The sequence below is a fragment of the Homo sapiens genome, chromosome 7 (genome assembly GCF_000001405.40).
Source record: "Homo sapiens chromosome 7, GRCh38.p14 Primary Assembly".
Taxonomy (NCBI): Eukaryota; Metazoa; Chordata; class Mammalia; order Primates; family Hominidae; genus Homo; species Homo sapiens.
The window spans coordinates 64,339,381-64,361,180 of record NC_000007.14 but is presented as its reverse complement, the minus strand read 5'-3'; the positions used below and the strand labels follow the sequence as shown (position 1 = coordinate 64,361,180).

Genomic DNA, 21,800 nt, shown 5'->3' with positions numbered 1-21,800 from the left:
CAATTAGAAATATTACGTATTATGCTATTGTCAAGTGAAATGTTTTGTAGATTATTCCCAGGTCTTATTTTTCTTTTTAACCTTTTATTTCTCTCTGCATTTGCCTTTATCTTTATTTTCTTTTTTTACTTTCTTTCTATTAATTTTATTTCTTTTTCTTTTTTCTCATTACATTCTCTTAATTTCAAATTTTCTAGAATTTTTGTCATGTTTTAATTTCTTGTTTATTTCCATTCATATCCCCTATTATTTTTCTCCATGTTTCTTTTTCCATTTCTCATTTCTTAAAATTTTATTTTATTGCAAATTATTGCATTTGTTTACTTCTGTTTTTATTGTAATTAGTATCTTCATCTTCATTTTATTTTCACTGATCTTAATTACGTTTGTTTTTCTTTATTTCAGTTTGTCCTGTTTTTCAATTACTTTAAATTTATTTTTAAATTTTATTTTCTTTCTCTTGATTTCATTTGTTTCACTTTATTTTTCTGTATTTTGCTTTGTAAAACAGAAGGGATGAGCTATTTTACATTGGCCTAGCCATAGTGGTCAAGACTCATTTGCTGAGGCTCTCTGGCAGCCACTCTACCCCAGGAGTCTCCAACCCAGGGTATAGTCAGGGCCTCCTAGGAAGATTGCTAAGATCCCTCGGCAGATCTTTCATTGTTACAGGCCCATCTGGCACTCAGTGTCATGGGCCATTTCTGCTGCTTTCTGAAGCCCCCTGGAAGTCTTAGTGTTGCCAGGCCAAGACCCTGACTGCCTCTTTGTGTCCCAATGGATCCCCCACACATAATCCAGGGCACTGACTTCTTTCCCAGGAGAGGGCCACACCCACTCCACTGCACCAGGGCATGTCTGGACAATATGTGTGTCTTTGTTATAAAAGAATTTTTTTGTTTTTTGAGATGGAGTCTTGCTCTGTCACCCAGGGGGGAGTGCAGTGACGTGATTTCAGCTCACTGCAACCTGCAACCTGCACCTCCCAGGTTCGAGTGATTTTCCTGCCTCAGCCTCCCAAGCAGCTGGTATTACAGGTGTGTGCCACCACACCCAGCTAACTTTTTTTTTTTTTTGTATTTTTAGTCGAGACAGGGTTTCACCATGTTGGCCAGGCTGGTTTCGAACTCCTGACCTCAGGTGATCCACCCGCCTCAGCCTCCAAAAGTGCTGGGATTACACATGTGAGCCACTGTGCCCAGTTGAGAAAAAAAAAAAATTTTAACTTGACATATAACTGAATTATGAAAATGTCAGCTTTATGGGTAGATACACATGCAAATATGTGCAAAAATGCTAATCATGTGAGAAGATGAACATTTCTACATTGTATTTAATGATTTCATAGGGTTGCTATTTTACCCTTTCCTGTCTTTATATGTTCAATGGGAAAATCCTCAGTGAAGACTCCTCAGTATGACAGACAAAATGTTGTGCAATCTAATCACTGATAGATGCAGTGACGTAACTTCTGGTTTTCATTCGGAGCTCTCACAGCTAGGATTAAAAACTCTTAGTTGCAAACTCACATGATGAGGAATTATAGTATGCTGTCCTCTTCTGCACATTTGTCTGCCATCATAATTTTTTCAACTTGCCAAGGGAAAAAGTGGGAAATTGTTTCCCTCAGACCTACTCATCTCCCTTCCATAGGTTTTCAGGTTGTGTATTGTCCAGATTGCTTAGAAGCTCATGATCACAGAGGTCATGATTGTCAAGAGAAAGCTTTGTTGCAGGATTAAGTGAAGGTGTTTACCACTCAGGGCCTACGGTTCCTCCAGAGGCAGGATGAACTTAAAAATCATTCCTGAATCCAGAAAGTAATGACAGAAGTCAGGGACTACCCACAGGAGAAAGAAAAATGCTCCCTTTTGCTTTCCAAGTGGTCACTGCTTATTCTGGCATTAATCATGCTTCTGACCATGATGTGTTTCTTACTCATCTTTCTCGGTATTCCACTGATTGTGCATCTAAGGAAAAGAGGCCTGGATGAGAGTGGTAAGAGAACAACTGCATCCTTCCATAGCTGATGCCTTGGTGAGCTTTGAAGCACACTGAGCAGAGTCTGAAACTCTTCCTCACTATGGGGTAAGCTGTGTCAAATTCGACTCCCATGGAAATGGCACCAGGTTCAAGGTGTCAAAGAGACTCAGAGCCAGTGAATGAGATGAGGTTTTACTGGGGACTTACATAGAGAGGAGAAGGTCCAGTATCAGTGGGATTAGCAGGATAACAATGCCCACTTGCAAAAATTATGCAGTTTGTATAGCATTTTTATTTAGCACTTTTTTTCTGAACAACCTTTCACCTGTCAGACTTCATTTAACAAAAAAGGAATGGCCTCAATCCCCTGTGTGGCCTGTGTTCCACGCCACAGGATGGGACAGACCAGGGCTAAGATGTTCCTCATAAATAAAAAATAATCACCAGATTGGCCCCTACTAGACTTTTTAGCTTAAAACTGAACATTCAGAAGCATTTTTTTATACATGGTCAGTCTCCAGGTATGCCCAAGTCAAGTTAATACTGTCAGTTGCATCCATCATTACAGGCTGGTTCAGGCACTAGAGGTTCTTCTTCCTGAGACTCTAGATTCAAAAAGTTTTTGCTTTTTCTTCAATCATGGGGTTGACAGTTTACTAAAAGGCCTGATGTGTGTGCACATTGCTGGTACAGTTGTCTAAGTTAATGAGATGGCTTCACAGTTGGTAGGGCCTGTTCCTGTTACAGGTGTGACTGGGTGTGTACAGGCTGCTGACGTGCCTCTTCTCTAGACTTTCACTGGACCATAACATTCTGGGGCCCCAGTTCCACCATTTTCCAAGGTGGGACATGCTGAGCCAGACCCTGGAATTGTGGTTCAAGGTGACCAGGCTGAGGCTGCTCTTTAAAAGGCAGAACTGCCAGGTCTGTGTCTTATTTTCCTCGTCATTCTAATGTATCTTTTGGTATGGAGACCAGAGTAGAGTCTGCGACAGCCCTCCTGCTAGGGTTGGTACTATTTATACATGACTCTTAAGTGTCAAGGTAGGTTGAGAGATCTCTCTTCCTGGCACAGCCTGAGTAGGCTAGAGCACTGTGACCCTTAAAGCTTGGTTCATACAGTCTTCAGAGGAATTTCAAAAACCATAGGATGTGGGGGGCAGAGAAAGAGCTGGTACAAATGACAAGTTGCAGGTGAAATAATTGGAGTCAGGAAGAGAATGGGACCTGCTTGGGACAGTACACACACTGCCTGGGTGCAGCTGAACAGTCAAGCCAGTTCTCTGATTTGGGCCTTGTGCAGTGGGATTAACAGGCCCACTTCGGCTCTGGCCTGGGTGCTGAACACTTTGGGTAGGCTTACCACACGACTGGTTGCTTCTATGCCTACACTCACAAGAGAGATCTTCTTCTCTAAAGGCAAGCCCAGGGAGATCTGAGGCTCATGGGAGAAAGTGAAGAAAAAAGGTGATGCCTTAGCTCAGTGTTTTGCCCCTCCTGGCTTGTGGCTTTGGGGGCTCACATTGCTCATCAGAAAAAATGGGCAATGAAAGCCTCTCAGTGACTGGCTGCTCATCCCTTTTACCAGGCCACTGCACAGTGCTCACTCTGCAGCTCCAGGTACAGCCTGTGCTTCAAAAAGCTGGGGGATCTCTGGGCTGAGTTCAGGGCCCTGAGAGGGTTCTCCCCCTCAGGGACTCCTCCTGTCTACCCCGCTGTGCCCACCTGACAGCTCACCATGTATGCTGTATGCTACCCTTATTGCATGCTCTTTCCAAGCCCAGGTGGCCTGACCATCTTTCCTTCAGTGTACAGCCTCAGGCAGGTGCCACCCAGGTTTTCTCCTAGAATGTGATCTCAGGGGATTGCAGTAGCACATTCCGCTCTAACTTATTGACTAGTTAATCAATGGGTCACTTAATGTGCCAAGATGGGTGTGGGCCTTGACACTCTTGATCTCCTTCCTCTAGTGGGGCTGCATTGGCGGTTGCCATCCTGATTTCTTGGTGGAAAAAGCTAGCAGGTGAGGCAGGACTCAAGGGCCAGGGACAGGACAGAGCACCTTGGCTGGCCTCACCCAGGGCCCTCTGAGGCTCCTGCAGGCAGGAGGACTCCATGGAGCCCCAGACCCCTTTTCTAGGATGGTGCCCACAGCCCCTTCCTGGACCTTCAAGAAGGGCCTACTCTTTCTGCAACCTGTACCTACTGGTCTCTGGAAGATGAGCATTCATTTCTCTTTGTGGACATGGCCTTCTGCTTCATTTCCATAAGAAATGCCTAGGGAATCCTGGGCCTGTGCTGGAGGTTCTCTAAGTGCCAAAGTCAGTAAGAGTCTCAAGAATATAATTAATAGTATTTTCTGCACATTACTATCTCAGGGTTACTTTTGCCCAAAAATGTGTAAAAACAAATATTAAGATTTTTATCCTTTACATTACCTTAATTAGGTCATCATACAAACCTTTTATTTTCCTCCCAATCATTGAATTTTTGTTTTCTTCTTTGTTCAAATTGTTACCTGCTTTAGAGGCAAAAACTTAAAAAAAAAATGCTACACAAATACTAACAGGTAACAGCAATTTATTTAAAATGTAATTAGATTTCTTAAATAAGTAAATAATTTAAGTAAACTTAGTTTATATTACTTGTATAAATTATTTTACATATTATCCTCAATCTTAAAAAAATTTAGCTAGGTATGCAATTCAAAATTGATAGATTTTTTTAAAAATAGGCAACTTAAAAACATTTTATTGGACAAGTTGGGTAATATTAATTCTCAAATATTTTATCTTAGAAATCAACACACTTGACAATTGATATTCATAGTATCTATGAAAGTGACATTCTGAATGTGCTTTTATACTTGCCAAAAATTTAAGAGAAAAAAATCTATTCTGGCCTTCAGTAGTAAAACTTAAAGATTAAAGAAATAAGATTAAATTTACTGGCTAAATTACCCACAAAAACTGAAATAGATTCATTTACTTGCTCTTTATCTTTCAGCATCTGATAATGAACAGATTTTAAGACGTTCAGAATCTGCTTCAGCATAGAAATAAGGCCAAACAGCTCTTGTGAAAGATCATTAAAATATACAGAACAAACCTATTATTTATATTACTTTAAAAAATCACCCAATTCATAGTCCAAAAGAATACCAATCTTACTGGATTTTACTACTGGCAGAAGGTGGGTTTTCTTAGGACCTGATGCAGCATAACCACTCTATATATCATCCAATTGCCCCCAAATCAACCCAGAACTGAAGGCTGATCCTGCCAGGTCCTAAGAAGACAATCTTGACACACACCTAATTTTCATTTAGGCTTGTTTCCCACCTCTACCTTCCAGTAATGTCTGTCAGAACTACACTTCTGAGAGCCCAGGAAAGCAGGGCAGAAATAAAATCTCCTTGGGTTATAACATATGTTTGGTTTTGTTCTTCCATCACACAGCTTTTCTATCCTCGGAGACAATAAGTTGAGGATGTGCTGTGTCAAGATCTAAAATCAAGGACAGGCGCGGTGGCTCACATGTGCATTCCCAGCACTTTGGAAGGCTGAGGTGGGTGGATCATGAGGTCAGGAGATCAAGACCATCCTAGCTAACATGGTGAAACCCCATCCCTACTAAAAATACAAAAAATTAGCTGGGCCTGGTGGCAGGTGCCTGTAGTCTCAGCTATTTGGGAGGGTGAGGCAGGAGAATTGCTTGAACCTGGGAGGTGGAGGCTGCAGCGAGCCAAGATCACACCACTGCACACCAGCTTGGGTGACAGAGCAAGAGTCCATCTCAAAAAAAGAAAAAAAAAAAAAGATCTAGAATTAAATCTACTTGAAATGGCTTGATAGTTCTGTCTAAGCCAGAATATAGAGAAGGAAGACTAAAACCATATTTTATTAATCTATATGAAAAGAGTTCAGGGCATTTTAGGTTTCGATACCTGTGGTGCATACTCTTAACCTGTGTCAGCAATTCCAGGTTTGACTGCATAGAATTGGCCTCTGCCTCCCCCAGTAGATGTTTAAATGTAGAAACATAATCTGAAAATTTTACAAGGTTTTCACTTAGTTTTGCTAAAATGTCCATCTCTTCATCTTGTTTCAATTGTGAGTCAATTGTGTGGCATGGGTACAATTATGCTCTCTTCATATGCAGAATTAATGTCATTTTTTTTACTATAGATATTTTCCATTTTTCACCTGAGACCACAGGCCAATTTCAAAAAGAATATTTACTTCTAATTATGTAGCTTCTATTACATAGCTAGTATTGTCTTTGTTTACTTCATGTATATGCCAAAAAGACCTCATGACTTATGAAACGTTCAACTGTTTACTTAAATTGGCCCAATAAATTTAATAAACTCAATTATGTCAATTTTATAAAGTAAAATGAACAGTAACTAAACAAAAACTGGATTCAATAGCATTCTCTAATTGAAACAAAATATAAAATACACTAAATAACATACAATACACGCACTGTGAAATTACTCACGTGAAAATTATTTTGTGAACACCATTAAATTTTATCAAAGTCACTTTCATAATCTCTGAGGTGATTATACAAAGAATGTTTTATGAAAAGAAAATTATGTCTATGGTGAGCAACAGGCAAACAGACAAACAACAAAAAAAGAATTTGCACAAGATGATTCTAAGCCAGGAGCAATAACATTTTAGATAAATGAATTTAATACACAGCAGAGAAAATAGATTTGCTTTCAAAATCTCTGAAGTTTCTGGTTTGCTGGTAAGTGATCAACACTTGTAAAATTATCTGTTCATTCTAATATTTTTCTTTTCTTCTCAAAGTAGGTACACAACCATAAACAAATATGATTACTTTCTCTATAAATCTGTTACACCTGAAGTTTATTTTACAGTGATATATCTATATATTTAAATCCATGTAAACCAAAACTAAAGGTCTGTATGTGTTTAGCAGACCAGAGAAGTCATATGTTCAACAGAAAAAAGTAGGATAAAATTTTATAAATAGTTGTTCAGAATTCAGAAACATATAGCTCCAATTATACTCATAATCTTCATTACAACCATCATAATAATCTGTAGTTACAAGTAAACAAAAATGTAAGTTGTAGAAACCATATTCTCTAAATTATTTTAAGTTAAAGACCACTGACAAAGGGATCACTAGAGATGTTAGTCCACTGTCACCCAATAGTATATTGTTACCTACAACCTTGGGTAAGATGGGATAAGTTAACATCAGTGGCAAGATACACATTCAATGTAAAATAGCCTTAACACAATAACAATAATTTTGGTTTATTAAAACAAATTAAGTTCACACATTGTCATTAAAAAGGCATTTTGAAATTCACTGTATTTTAATTACCTTAATTTGCAAATGGTAAGGCAATTTCCTTCTAAAATTCAAATTGTTTCTCTTACTAAGCAGATTATTATCCTGATCACTTACCACACTCCTATCATCCTGTCACTTACGATACTGCTGTAAACTAATAAGTGGCCTTTCCACTTAGAATTTCTTCGTGTGTCTTAGGTTTCAGTTTACTTAATCCTCCATGGAAAAGTATATAAATCTGTCCATCTAATATAGAAGAACCTCTCACAACTCTGGTGCAACCACTGACCATGTTCTTTCACATAAATTCTAGAAATGAAGACACAGCATCAAATGTAAGAGTTAAATTATATTGAAATTTGCTTTTGAAAAATATTGAATCCTTTTAATATAAAAAAGTAGGTTCCCTTTAGAGAAAAGTGATCGAGATTGCTGACTAGAAGCAGCTAGACTGTGCAGTTCTCATAGACAGGAATGCAAGGTATACATAAATACAGCACCTGCAACTGAAACATCCAGGTACTTGCATTGGGAATAATCAAAGAAACAATCTATGGAGAATGGAGTAAAGCAAGGCAGGACAATGGGCCACCTGGGAACAACATGGAGCCAAGGGAACCTCCCCACCCAGTAAAGCAGTGAGTGCATGTGTGACCCTAGAAACCCATGATTCTCCCACAGATCTCTGCAACCTTCAGGTGAGGAGATACCCTCATGAACCCACTTCACCAAGGCCTTCAGTTTAACACACAGAGCTACATGGAGTCTCAGCAGATAAGCCACTTAGGCCTGCGCAGATTCAAGAGCCTTAGATACTGGCTTTCCAGGCTTCCCAGAAAAAGTAGCTGCAACTCGAGCAAAGCAGGTTACACCCCTGAACATACCCATAGGAAAGAGGCAGAATCCAGGGGGCTGATAGTGATGGTCTGTAGGACCCACTTCAACAATGCCTCACGTGGTAAGACCTACTGGCTTAGATTCCAGCCAACCATTGGTAGCAGCACTGCACCTCCCTGGGATGGAGCTACCAGAAAGAGGAGTGGGCCACCATCTTTGCTGCTTGAGCAACTTAGCCATTCCAGCCTTCAGGCTTTGAAGAGCCCAAGCTGACCGGGGGGCGGAAAGGATCTCCTAGCACAGTACAGGTGCTCTAAAAAGACATGGCCAGACTGCCTGTTAAAGCAGGTCCCCCGTTTCATTCCTTCTCACTGGAAAGTACTTCCCAATGAGGGTCTCCAGCTACCACCACCAGCGCTCTTTGGTTGATGGAGTTTTGAAACCTCTTTGGGATACAGTTCCTAGAGGGAGGAGTGAGCTGCCATTTTTGCTGTTTGTGTGAGTTAGCTGTTCCAGCCTTCTGGCTTTGGAGAATCCAAATAAACTGGGGGTGGAAGTGGTACCTCTGAATAGCAGAGCTGTCCTGCAAAAATATGGCTAGACTGCTTTCTTAAGTGGGTCCCCAATCATGTTTTCCTCACTGGGTAGGACCTTCAACAGGGGCTTCCAGCTACCTCCTACAGGTGCTTTTGGGCTGGCAACAGGTCTATACCTCCCTGGGATGGCGCTCCCAGAGAAAAGGGCATGCTGCCATTGTTGCTGTTTTGCAGCATTCAGTGGTGATAACTTCCAGTACTGGAAAATCTGAGGTGACTAGAAACTGTAGTGGACACCCAGCATACTGCAGCAGCCCTTCAGAAGTGGTCGGACTGTTACGTGAGTGCCTGTTCTCATATATTCTCACGAGGCAGGTTCTCCAGGCCCGGGCCACTAGCCAATCATTGCCAGAGCTATTGAGCCAGTAGCAGCTTAGCAACTCCCTGGACAGAGCCTCCAGGGGCCTCTGCAGTACAACTGTCCTTGCTACCCTCAGACTAATAAAAAATCCCAAACCCTAAGTGCCTTATTCACACCTCAAACTGCAGTTTACCCAAGGAGAGGAAGCCAGCCCATCCTCCATGGGTCCCACAAACTACCCACTGCTCCTCAGCAGACAGTAAACCCCTAACTTGGCCAAAAGTAAAGATCTTCCATCCTGGGCTGGCTGCACTGAGTAATTGCTGACCTACATCTCTCTGAGATGCAGCCCCCAGAAGACAAGCAAAGAGATAATGCAGCAAGCCAGCTCATGTGGTGGCCAGAGGGTTTGGTGCAAGAGCATCTGTAGTAAAGTGTGGCCAGTGATGGCCATTTCTCTAGGCTCAACTGTCTCCCATAAGAGACTTTAGCCCTACGGGAACTGTTGGGCCTAATTTCTGCAGGATGGTCTTGCAAATCAGAAGAAGCTGGTCCAACTGAGCACTCCTTGGTCTGCTGGCCTCTCCCAGGGACCCAGTCTGGCCACAGCTGCTTACAGGGCAGTCTCAGGTACCCTGGAAGCTCATACCAGAGCATCTGCACTGGAGGGACATGCCTGACTCATGAAGAGCTCCAGCAAAGCAGCCCCTATGACTGCACCAGCCCACATTTCTTCCCCATACTGCAGCTTCCCGTGACACCATGGCAACTCCTGATATTTCTTTGCTGGCACATGTCTGCAAAGGCAGGTTTGGCTTTGCTTGCCCCACCAGCAAATGGGAATGCAATATGCCCCGCCACCCCCAGCAACTGCCATTGTAGATGAAACTTTGGTGGGCAGAGAGCCAGAAAACTCCACCCCTGCCTTTGTGCTAACACTGTGCAGAGAACAGGGTAACCTCCCACACTCTGAACAATCACTCTTTCTTGGGGGGCACAGAGAAGGCATCAAAACCTTTACTGGCCAGTATCCTGCCCCAAGCCAACACCACCTTTAGTGCAACAGCACACAGCCTCCAGCAGGTATCCCCCACTCCCTTCCCAGCTGCTTTGCTCCTGCCACTGAGGTGAGTACCCAAAGACAGGCAGAAATCCCATATCCACTAGCACTCTGCTCCAGCTATGGCACCTTCATCCCACAAACTCGCAAACTCCAAATCTCAAGGAGCCAGAGAACACAGTTGGGGCTCAAAACAAGTCCCCCGGAGTTAGAGTATGCAGCCTCTGAGTTGTGAGCTGAGCATTGCCCACCCACCACCACCACCAAACAAAACAAAACAAAACAAAACAAAACAAAAAAAACCTCCCAGGAACAAAGCCTGTTGGCTGCATCCATCTTATACCACAATCAAATACTCAAGACCATCAAATAGGATTAAAAAAAAAAAAGCCCAAAGGTCAGCAACCTCAAAGATATGCCCACAAAGATAAGACACAATCAGTGCAAAGATAAAAACACAAAAAGCCAGAGTGACTTCTTTCATCCAAATGACCAAATTACATTTCCAGCAAGGCCTAAGATGACAGAAGTAGAATTCAGAATATGGGTAGAAACAAACTTCACTGAGTTACAAAAGTAATTTGCAACCCAATGCAAGGGAGGAAAAAAAATTGCAGGAACTGACGGAAAAAACAGCCAGTCTGGAGAAAAAATGTGGCCAACCTGATAGAACTGAAAAACACAATACAAAACCTTTATAATGTAATCACATATATTAACAGCAGAATAGGCCAAGCAGAGGAAAGAATCTCAGGGCCTCAAGACTGGCTTTCTGAAATCAGACAGACAAGAACAGTGAAAAAAGAATAAAGAGGAATGAACAAAACCTCTAAGAAATATGGGATTATGTAAAGAAACCAAATCTATGATGCAAGAGATTGCCTGAAAGTGATGGGGAGAATGAAAACAACTTGAAATACGTATTTCAGGATAACATCCATGAGAACTTCCCCAACCTAGAGAGGCCAACATTCAAATGCAGGAAATGTGGAGAACCCCAGTAAGATACCCCAGGAGAAGGTCATCCTCAAGACACATAATCATGAGATTCTCCAGGGTCAAAATGAAAGAAAAAATATGTTAAAGGCAGCTAGAGAGAAAGGCCAGGTCACCTCTAAAAAGAAGCTCATCAGGAAAACAACAAATCTTTCAGCTGAAATCCTACAAGTCAAAAGAGATTATAGGGGCCAATATTCAACATTCTTAAAAAAAGAATTCCAACACAGAATTTCATATCTGACCAAGGTAAGCTTCAGAAGTAAAAAATATATATGATCCTATTCAGACAAGCAAATGCTGAGAAAATGTTACCACAGGATCTGTCTTAAAAGAGCTTCTGAAGAAAGCATTAAATAAGAAAAAGACTATTACCAGTCACTACAAAAGCACACTAAAGTATACAAACTGTGGACACTATAAAGCAACCACAGAAACAAATGTGCAAAATAGCCAGCTAAGATCCTAATAACAGAATCCAATCCACACATATGAATACTAACCTTAAATGTAAATGGGCTAAATACCCAAATTAAAGCACAGATGGCAAGCTGAAAAAAGAATCAAGATCTAATGGTATGCTTTAATCAAGACACCCATCTCAAATAAGCTCAAAATAAAGGGAAAAAGAAAAGCCTACCAAGCAAATAGAAAACAGGAAAAGAAGCAGGGGTTGCAATCCTAGTTTCTGACAAAACAGACTTGAAATTAACATAGATTTAAAAAAAAAGGGCATTACATAATAGCAAAGGGCTATATATGTACCCAACATATAAGCAACCAGATTATAAAGTAAGTTCTTAGAGACCCTCTAAGATGATAAATGTTCTTCCACTGTCATTACATTTATACTGCATTTGTTCAGTATTAAATTTCAGATGTTGAACACAGTATGAGGACTTGGTAAAGGCTTTTCCACATTTTTAACACTTGTGGAGCTTCTCTCTAGTATGAATTCTCTTATGTCTGATGAGGTGTGAGAACCAGCTCGATGCTTTGCCACATTCTTCACATTTGTAGGGTTTCTCTCCAGTGTGAATTCTCTTATGATTAGTCAGGTCTGAGAAGCACTTAAAGGTTTTGCTGCATTCTTCACATTTGTAAGGTCTCTCTTCCATATGAATTCTCTTGTGGTTAAAAAGGGTTGAGGAGCGGGTAAAGGCTTTGCCACATTCTTCACAGATGTAGGGTTTCTCTCCAGTATGAATTCTCTTATGTTTACTAAGGGCCGAGAACCACTTAAAAGCTTTTCCACATTCATTACATGTGTAGGGTTTGTCTCCAGTATGAATTATCTTATGTTTAGCAAGGTCTGAGAACCACCTATAGGCTTTGTTACATTCTTCACATTTGTAGGGTTTCTCTCCAGTATGAATTCTCTTATGATTAGTAAGGTCTGAGAAGCACTTAAAGGCTTTGCCACATTCTTCACATTTGTAGGGTCTGTCTCCAGTATGATTTCTCTTGTGTTTAACAAGGGTTGAGGAGCAGGTAAAAGTTTTGCCACATCCTTCACATTTGTAAGGTTTCTCTCCAGTATGAACTCTCTTATGTTCAGTAAGGTTTGAAAACTTTTTAAACGCTTTGCCACATTCTTCACATTTGTAGCATCTCTCTACAGTATGAATTTTCTTATGTCTAGTAAAATCTGAGAACAACCTACAGTCTTTGCCACATTCTTCACATTTGTGGCATTTCTCTCTGCTAAAAATGTCTTTATGTTCAGTGAAGATTGAGCACAACTGAAAACCTCTGCCACATTTATTACATTGACAGGTTTTGCTATGGGTAGCTGACAAACATTGATGAAGGCCATTATAACTGCTTTTCTGCCCCTTGCAATTACCCACACTTTGGTAGTCTTTCTTTAAATGTAAATTATTAAGGTCACAGCTTCCATATTTTCTCAGAATCACTTTTTGAAATGAATCTTTTATGTCATGATCCGGCAATATCTCTGCAGTAAAATGAAAAGAACCAGCTGGAGAAAAAAAATAAAATTCTCCCTCATTAGACTCAGGTGAATATACTTCACAAATATATAATTATACAAAGCAATTAATAAAACGATAATAAAATACCACAGGCTCTATATTCTTATAGACATATAAACCTAACAGAAATATACTGACCAAAATGCCTTTGTGAGAAGTCTAAGAACCAGTTAAGCATTTGCGGCACACCAAGTGAGCAAAACGCCAAGAACCACATAGAAGTGTAATAAAAGTATTTCATATTTACCCACCACAGCCATTCTTCATCCTATGATGACTCTAACTATAGACTCCAAACTCCTGTCTACCCCCTCCAAAAATAAATAAAATAGTGGCACATGTGTCCATGCTTCTGGCTTATTGAGACCTTACCAAAGACTAATTTCTATATTCCATGACAGTGTTGAAAGGAAAGGTGGTATGCACTGACAGTTTCGGACAGCTGAGACCAAAGGTAAATGACTGTTACAAGAGAAGAAAGACTTCAGTATCATAGACAGACAATGGGTATAGCAAGTGACTAAGGGATCTCAATAAGAAACATAGGGAATGGCCAGGAGTGGTGGCTCACACCTGTAATCCCAGCACTTTGGGAGGCTGAGGCAGGCGGACCACCTGAGGTCAGATGTTCAAGACCAGACAGGCCAACATGGTGAAACCTTGTCTCAACTAAAAATACAAAAATTAGCAGGGCGTGGTGGCAGGTGCCTGTAATCCCAGCTACTTGGGAGGCTGAGGCAGAAGAAAGGAGAATCGCTTGAACTCAGGAGGTGGAGGTTGCAATGAGCCAAGCTTGTAACATTGCACTCCAGTCTGGGCAACAAGAGTAACACTCAAAAAAAAAAAAAAAAAAAAAAAAGGCGAACATTTTTTAACTAAAAAACACACAAGCTCAGAGAAAACATCCATAGAACAGGCTTGAGAGACTCCAAGACTCCCTAGCCTAAAAAATTGGTATCATATTCCCTCAGACAAAAGTCACTTAATACAGATTTTGACATGTGGCTTTTTATTATACAAATTGCAACATTACAACATAAACAAAACATCAAGATAATATGGCTCAAAGAAAAAAAAGAATATCCAGAAATCAATTATTAAAAAAAGGAGATGTAAAAATTATGTGAGACAATTTGAATTAAAGTCTTGATCTATTTTTTAAAAGAAAAAAATAAATTACCCTAGAAAATCAAAATTACATCTCAATGATGCTCAATGAGTAAAATGGAAATTAAAAAAACAAAATGAAATAACAAAAATGAAACCAACAAAAAGATAAAAAGCACAGAAAGAAATAAAAATTGTGTAGTAGAACTACAAAAAAAGACTAATATGCACTTCAACATTAGTAAAAAATATAAGAAAATCAAGAAGCTCAGCAAACTTCAACTAAGATAACACAAAGAGATTTCTAACAAGACATAACACAAGCAATGTTTTAAAAGTCGCAGACAAGAAGAGAATCTGGAATTCAGGAAGAAGAAAGAGACGTGTTATTTATATGCATGCTTCTGCAAGATTACGAGTAAATTTAAGAACATAAATCTTTCAGGCAAGAAGGGAACAGGATGACATAGTTAAAGCACTGGAAAAAAAAAAAGTCTAAGCAAGAATACTATATCCAGCAAAAGTATCTTCCAAAATGAAAAAAAAAATCTAACTATATCATGACATATATCAAGATCTACATCAAGATCTAACTATATCATGTCTTCAAGAGATTCACTTTAGATCTAATAAAAAAAAAAGACAAAATGGCAGGATGAAAAATACATTTTATGCAAGTGTTAACCAAATGAGAGAAGAGGCAACAATTTATTAAGTTGAAAATGGTCATATTTCATATAATTTACTTTAAGTCAAAATTCACAAGAGACAAAGTAGGACATTCAATTATAATAAGAGGGTTCATTCACTGAGAACCTATAAATACAAGACAGTTTTCCCAAACACATAAAGCAAACATTGACGGAACTGAAGCAAAAATAGACAGCAATATAATAATGGAAGGAAACATCAACATCCCACTTTCACTAATACATAAAGCAAGACAGAATATCAATGAGGGAACAAAAAACTTGAATGTACTATAAAATAATTACACCTAACAAATGTATACAGACAGCAGAATACACATTCTTTTCAATAGCTCATGAAACATTTTCCTAGATGGATGACCTGTGACACCACAAAACAAGTCTTAACAATTTTTTTAATTGAAATTTTACGGACAATTATTTATGGTCCAAATGGAATGAAACTAGAAATCAGTAACAGAAGAAAAGCTGAAAAATTCAAAAAACATAAAAATTAAACAACACACCTTTTTTTTTTTTTTTTTTTTAAGATGGAGTATTGCTCTGTCACCAGGCTGGAGTGCAGTGGCACGATCTCGGCTCACTGCAACCTCCACCTCCTGGGTTCATGTGATTCCCCTGCCTCAGCCTCCTCTCCTGAGTAGCTGGGACTACAGACATGCACCACCACGCCCAGCTAATTTTTTGTATTTTAGTAGAGACAAGGTTTCACCATGTTGGCCAGGATGGTCTCGATCTCCTTACCTTATGATGTGCCCACCTCGGCCTCCCAAAGTGCTGGGATGACAGGCATGAGCCACCGCACCCAACCAACAACACACTTTTGAGCATGCTCTTTTTCAAGGGTTGGAAGACATAACATTGTGAAGATGTCCATGCTGCTTAAAGTGACCCACACATTCAACACACCCTTTTCAATTTTCAATTTTACTTTTCCTGGCCGGGCACAGTGGTTCACGCCTGTAATCCCAGCACTTTGGGAGGCCGAGGCGGGCAGATCATGAGATCAGGAGATCGAGACCATCCTGGCTAACATGGTGAAACCCCGTCTCTACTAGAAAAAAAAAAATTAGCCAGGCGCGGTGGCGAGCAACTATAGCCCCAGCTACTCTGGAGGCGTCGGCAGAAGAATGGTGTGAACCAGGGAGGCAGAGCTTGCAGTGAGCCGAGATCGCGCCACTGCACTCCAGCCTGGGTGACAGAGCGAGACTCCATCTCAAAAATAAATAAATAAATAAATAAATAATAAAATAAATTTTACTTTTCCAAAAAGAAAAAAAAAACCCACAAAATTACATAAGATCTCAAGGTAACATGAAAAGCCTGACAATCTTTAAAAAGAAGAAAAATATTGGAAGCATTATGCTTAACAATTTCCAAACACAAAACAAAACTACATCAATCAAAGCACTTTGGTACTGGTATAAATGTAGAACACCAAAGTAATGAAACACAATGCAGCACAGATATAAACTCTTGAATATATGGTCAAGTGAGTTATTTGTACACCATATTGAAGCATTATCCACAAAAGCCAATAGGTAAAAGCAATTTAAACTTTCCTTACCAAATTAATCGATAAATATAATTTAAAATATAAAAAAGGGAATATTAATCAGCTTTTTAAAAGCAGGAAATCTTCTAATATCTATTATAAAGACAAATTTTGAAGACAACATGCTAAATTAGTAAGCCAGCCACACACACAAAAATACTGTATGAATCTACTTACATGGAATATGTAAAATAGTTACATCCTTAAAAACAGAAAATAGAATGATGTTTGTAAAGGGCCAGACAATGGGAAAAATGAGTAGTGGATTCATGTGTATAGCATATTTCTTTTACAAAAATAAAAGTTCTAAAGATATGTTGCTAAAAATGTCAATATACTTAACAAAGCTGAACTATATAACTGAAAATATTAAAGAGTATACATTTTTTAATTTTTATTTTTTAGACAGAGTTTTGCTCTTGAAGCCCAGGCTGGAGTGCAGTGGTGCCGTCTTGGCTCACTGCAACCTCTGCCTCCCAGGTTCAAGTGATTCTTCTGCCTCAGCCTCTGCAGGAGCTGGGATTATAGGCGCGCACCACCACACTTGGCTAATTTTATATTTTTACTAGAGACGGGGTTTTGCCATGTTGGCCAGGCTGGTCTTGAACTTCTGACCTCAGGTGACCTGCCCACCTTCGCCTCCCAAAGTGCAGGGATTACAGGTGTGAGCCACCATGCTCGGCCCTTGTATTTCTTACACTTAAGAATAAAACAATCATTGACTACTAACAAAAAAATAAAAAAAAAAAAAGCAAATATACAAGTCATAAAATAGGGGTAATATTTACACAGGCAAACAAACACAGAAATAATTATATTGGCAAAATATGTATGACTGATCAATATCTGACTTTTGTCCAAACATTGTTTTAATGTGTACAGAGTTGAATTATTGTCATATAAAATTATGATACATAAAAACTAAAAACACAATTAATTAATGTGACATAGGCTACTGTAAAACATAAGCCACTAAAATATAAAATGGTGGAACAAAATTTAACAAAAAAAATTAACCAAAAAATATTGAATCAACATAGTGTACTACCAAACAATAATTATTCTAGATAGCCATGCATTTTAACTGTGACTGCACATTTATAAAGAGCACATATTTTGGTATTTTTGTTTAATTTCAACTTTTCCTATAGGTTCAGAGGCCACATGTCTAGGTTTGTTACATGGGTATATTATGTATTGCTAAGGTTTGGGATAACTGCTACTACTACTCAGATAGATAGCACAGTACCCCATAGGTAGCTTTTCAGGCCTTGTCTCTTTCTTCCTTTCCTCCTCTAGTGGTCCCCAGTGTCTATTGTTTTCATTTTTATATCCTTGTATACTCAATATTTAGCTCTCACTTGTAAGTAAGAACATGCAGTATTTGCCTTTCTGGTTTTTTTCCATTAATTTACTTAAGATAAGGGCTTTCAGCTGCATCAGTGTTGCTACAAAGAACACAATTTTTTTTGGCTGTGTAGTATTTCAATGTGTATATAGGTACCACATATTCTTTATCCAATCCACCTCTGATGGGCAACTAGAGTGATTTCATGTCATTGCTGTTGAAGACAATAAAGTTTGAATCACTGGTATACAGTGAAAGCAATAACATTTTATAGAAAATGCATTATAATCATTCATAAAAAGCTTTGATGAGAAAATATGAATAGGCACTTAAATAATACTAGACATACTTATTATGTCATTAATGTATAGCTGCTATTTTTGCACAAAATGTAAAGGCAAGGCAACCTTTGGAAGCAAAACATTACATTACTAAAATAATATAAACAATATAAATACAGTACAATATGGAATAAAATAAAATAATTAGAAATAAATTTATACAATCACATAGACAAAGTTTGAGAAAAGTTGATGAAAATGCTAGTATCTTTTTGTATGCAGTAAACTTAAACATAAATCAAAGATTATAATATATGGTGTGCCTATTAATTATCTAGTTTACCTTTTATACAACATATACATTTGAGCACATTACTTCAGAACTTGTGAAATTACAGGCATAGTTGTTACACACAAATCAGAAAGAAAAACATATATATAAGACACAGCCCTAGTAGTCTTCATAGTAAAGAAGATAAAATTATAAAATAATAGTTATTAAGAAATAGGTAACAATTTGGAATTTATTATGTTTATTATGTGCTGGACAGTGTTCTAAGTAACCTATGGTATTAGTGTTTTTAGGAATTCTGTGAGGTGAGTAGATAAAATCAACTATTCCACAGTAGAGGCAATTGTCATATAGAATTTAAATTTCTAAGTTTAGTTCCTACTAAGAAAAATATACTTTTGAAGTGAAATAGATGTTTAGATTTTCTTGTACTTAATCAGATGCTTTGTGCTCTGATAAAAGTTCTCACTTTCATTTTCTGTATGATCAACTGATTGGAAATTATAAAGCAGAAACATATGACATCTGTTCCGGGCCTCTCTCAAATCTCTTAACCAAATCTCCCTACTCCTCTCTAACATAATGCACAGATTTTTAAAAACACCTCCAAAAATTTGGACAAATTTTCCAGATCCCTCAAAGCAATAGAAGAGCAGTTAGATTATTTAGATCCTTACAGCATAAAAAGGAGTTGTCTCTCACTGTGAATGCACCAGCAGATTAAATGGATAGAAGACTTAAAGAATTCAAAAGCTTAATAAGCATACATCAAAAAATTGTCCTCCATGACATTAAGAGGCTTTTCAAGAATCAATTCCATTGGAGAACAGCCTCCCAATCCACATTTTAAACTCTTGTTTTCTCCTTCACCTTTGGACCTTTCACATGTGTTATCTGCTAAATCATTCATACCTATCTGAGTGTATGGCTATTCTTTCCACTCGTTTCACATTCCAGTAATACTTTCTATGCTGCAGAAGGTAACCAGGTCTAGCTTAAAGACTTTCCAACACAACCTTTCTTTCCTTCAACAGCAATTGGTCTAAGTAAAACACAATCAACTCCCAGTATTATCCTCAAGAGAAATCTAAAACAACAGGTCTGTTTAAAGTTCTGATTAATAGAGTCTGTCTCCCTTAACATGAAAATGATGGAGTAATGAGAATTACAGTTTGTATCTGCTAGAAGGTGAATGTTGTTATAATACTAGAGGAACTGCCATGCCACAGTCATCTAAGGAAGCAAAAGATTATAGAATCTGACAAGAAAATGAGGAAAAAATCTCTTTAACTTAGAAATTACACACAAAAGTTCAAAGACATAACTGAGAACATGTTTGTGAAGCACTAAAAAATCTATAGCGTGGCTCATTGCTACAGCCATTCTTTAAGCAAGTCTTTAAATATTAGATTAGATGGCTGTTTTTAAGTTTTCAAATTTCATAAAAGGATCACGTAACATAAAAAAAAAAGACAGAAAACATACCCCACTTGAAGAAATAAATTTCCAAAACTCAATCCTTAAGAAGATCTTTGCATTATCTGACAAAGATGTCAAAATAATGATACTAAGTATGCTCAATAACAAAAATAGAACAAAGATTTTAAAAAAAGAAACCAGTAGAAATTGTGGCAGAAAAATAATTGTTGAAAAATTTTGTAGAGTCACAACAGAATTAATGATCAGAAAACAAAAATCAGAAAACTAAAGACATTTATAAACATTGAGTCATGAAAAAATAAAACAAAAAAAGTTGAAAAACATCAACACGGAATATGTAACTAATTTATTAGATATGATTAAGGAGACCAATGTATTCATGAAAGGAGTCTTTGAAGAAGAATGCAGGAGAAAAGTCACAGAGAGGTTATTTGAAGAAAAAAGGGACTCACTAAGAACTTCCTAAATTTCGAAGTGATGAAAAAAAATGCTACCAACCAAGGATACTTAATCTGGGAGAAATTTACTTTAAAAATAAGACAACAATAAAGACTTTCTAACATGAACCAAAGGTAAGGGTGTTCATTACCCCTAGAAAAGTCTTATAAGAACTACTACATGGAGTCCATTATGTTGACAGACATGGTGGTTCACACCTGTAATCCTAGCAACTTTGTAGGCTGAGGCAGAAAAAGAATCATTTTAGGCCGGGAGTTTGAGACCAGCCTGGGTGATATAGTGAGACTCCTTCTCAAAGAAGAGACCTTTATAATAATTTTGTTTTTCAAGGAGAGGGTTTTAAAACCTGCTAGAACTAAAGATTGATTGAAGTCATTTTGAAAAGGCAGGTCCTCATATAGGTGGCAAACTTGAAAACCCTTGCTCTTTGGCTACAGGTCAAGAAATGGTTCAACTATTTTGACTTGACTTAAAATTCTGTAGTGACTCCATAACCATCTCCAGCTCCTTCCAGCCATAGCCTAGGAGTGGTTCTGCATATCCAGAGACCCAGAGAAAGATGCCTGTTTGTGGTTACAGCAGTAGGTCTGCAGACCTTGGCCTTTACTGTGCTCTCTGAAACAGTTCAGTGACTCAGTTTCAGCACTGATAGTCACAGTTTGTGGCAAGTTCTGCCAACTTAAGTACTCAAAGAGTTACTTGGGGAAATCTTGCCACATACTCAGTAAGAAACACACATCAGGCACACCATATACCAGCCGTACTGCAGAACACTGCCCTAGTGCTGGCCCTACAGATCCAAGTCCTAAAGGCAATTCCGTCTGCCAAGAAATAAGACAGGATTAACAACTACCCAGGCTCCTGGTAACAAACCCACTAAAAGCAAACTCCACAACAGACCAAGAAACAGCCATGTGACCCACATATAACCCCTCTCCACTGCATACCCAAGAAGATTCTATCAGCTAATTGACCCAAGAGAAGATTTGTACCTACTGAGAGCAGTTTATAAAATTGGAAAATTTAGATTCAATAAATGCCCTATTAAAATTTTAGTACAATTTTTCGAAGTAATAGAAAATTCAATCTTAAAATTTATATGGAATTACAAGAAACACTGAATATCCAAAGCAGTTTTGAGGATTAAAAACAAAGCTAGGGGCATTATACTTTCTGATTTTAAACTACATATGAAGGCTACTGTAATAAAAACAGGATGATGTGTGCATAAAAATGCACACCGATATCAGTGGAGCAGGATGGAGAGCCCGGAAACAAATCCATCCTTGTAAGATCAACTCATCTTTGACACTGAGCCACTGAGAATGCATAATGCAGAAAATATAGTCTCTTCCACACTTGGGGCTGGGAAAACTGAATATCCACAAGTAAAAGAATAAAATTAGACCACTTTTCTTACAATATTTAAAAATTAACTAAATATAAAATAAGGACTCTAATGAATGACATAAATTCTTAATAATCTTAAAAGAAAACATATGAA

The 21,800-nt window shown here is 38.4% G+C and overlaps 1 protein-coding gene and 1 pseudogene across 1 annotated transcript in view; both read right to left on the bottom strand.

The window, feature by feature from the left end:
- Positions 1 to 4,546: 4,546 nt before the first annotated feature.
- Positions 4,547 to 21,800, bottom strand: part of ZNF736 (zinc finger protein 736) — a 42,674-nt gene continuing 25,420 nt past the window's right edge. Inside the window, exon 4 of the mRNA NM_001170905.3 lies at positions 4,547 to 13,091. Within this exon, the coding sequence (NP_001164376.1) occupies positions 12,034 to 13,091 (1,058 nt within the window). The 3' untranslated portion in view covers positions 4,547 to 12,033. The remainder of the gene's footprint in view (positions 13,092 to 21,800) is intronic.
- TRIM60P18 (tripartite motif containing 60 pseudogene 18) lies at positions 4,782 to 6,091 on the bottom strand (annotated as a pseudogene).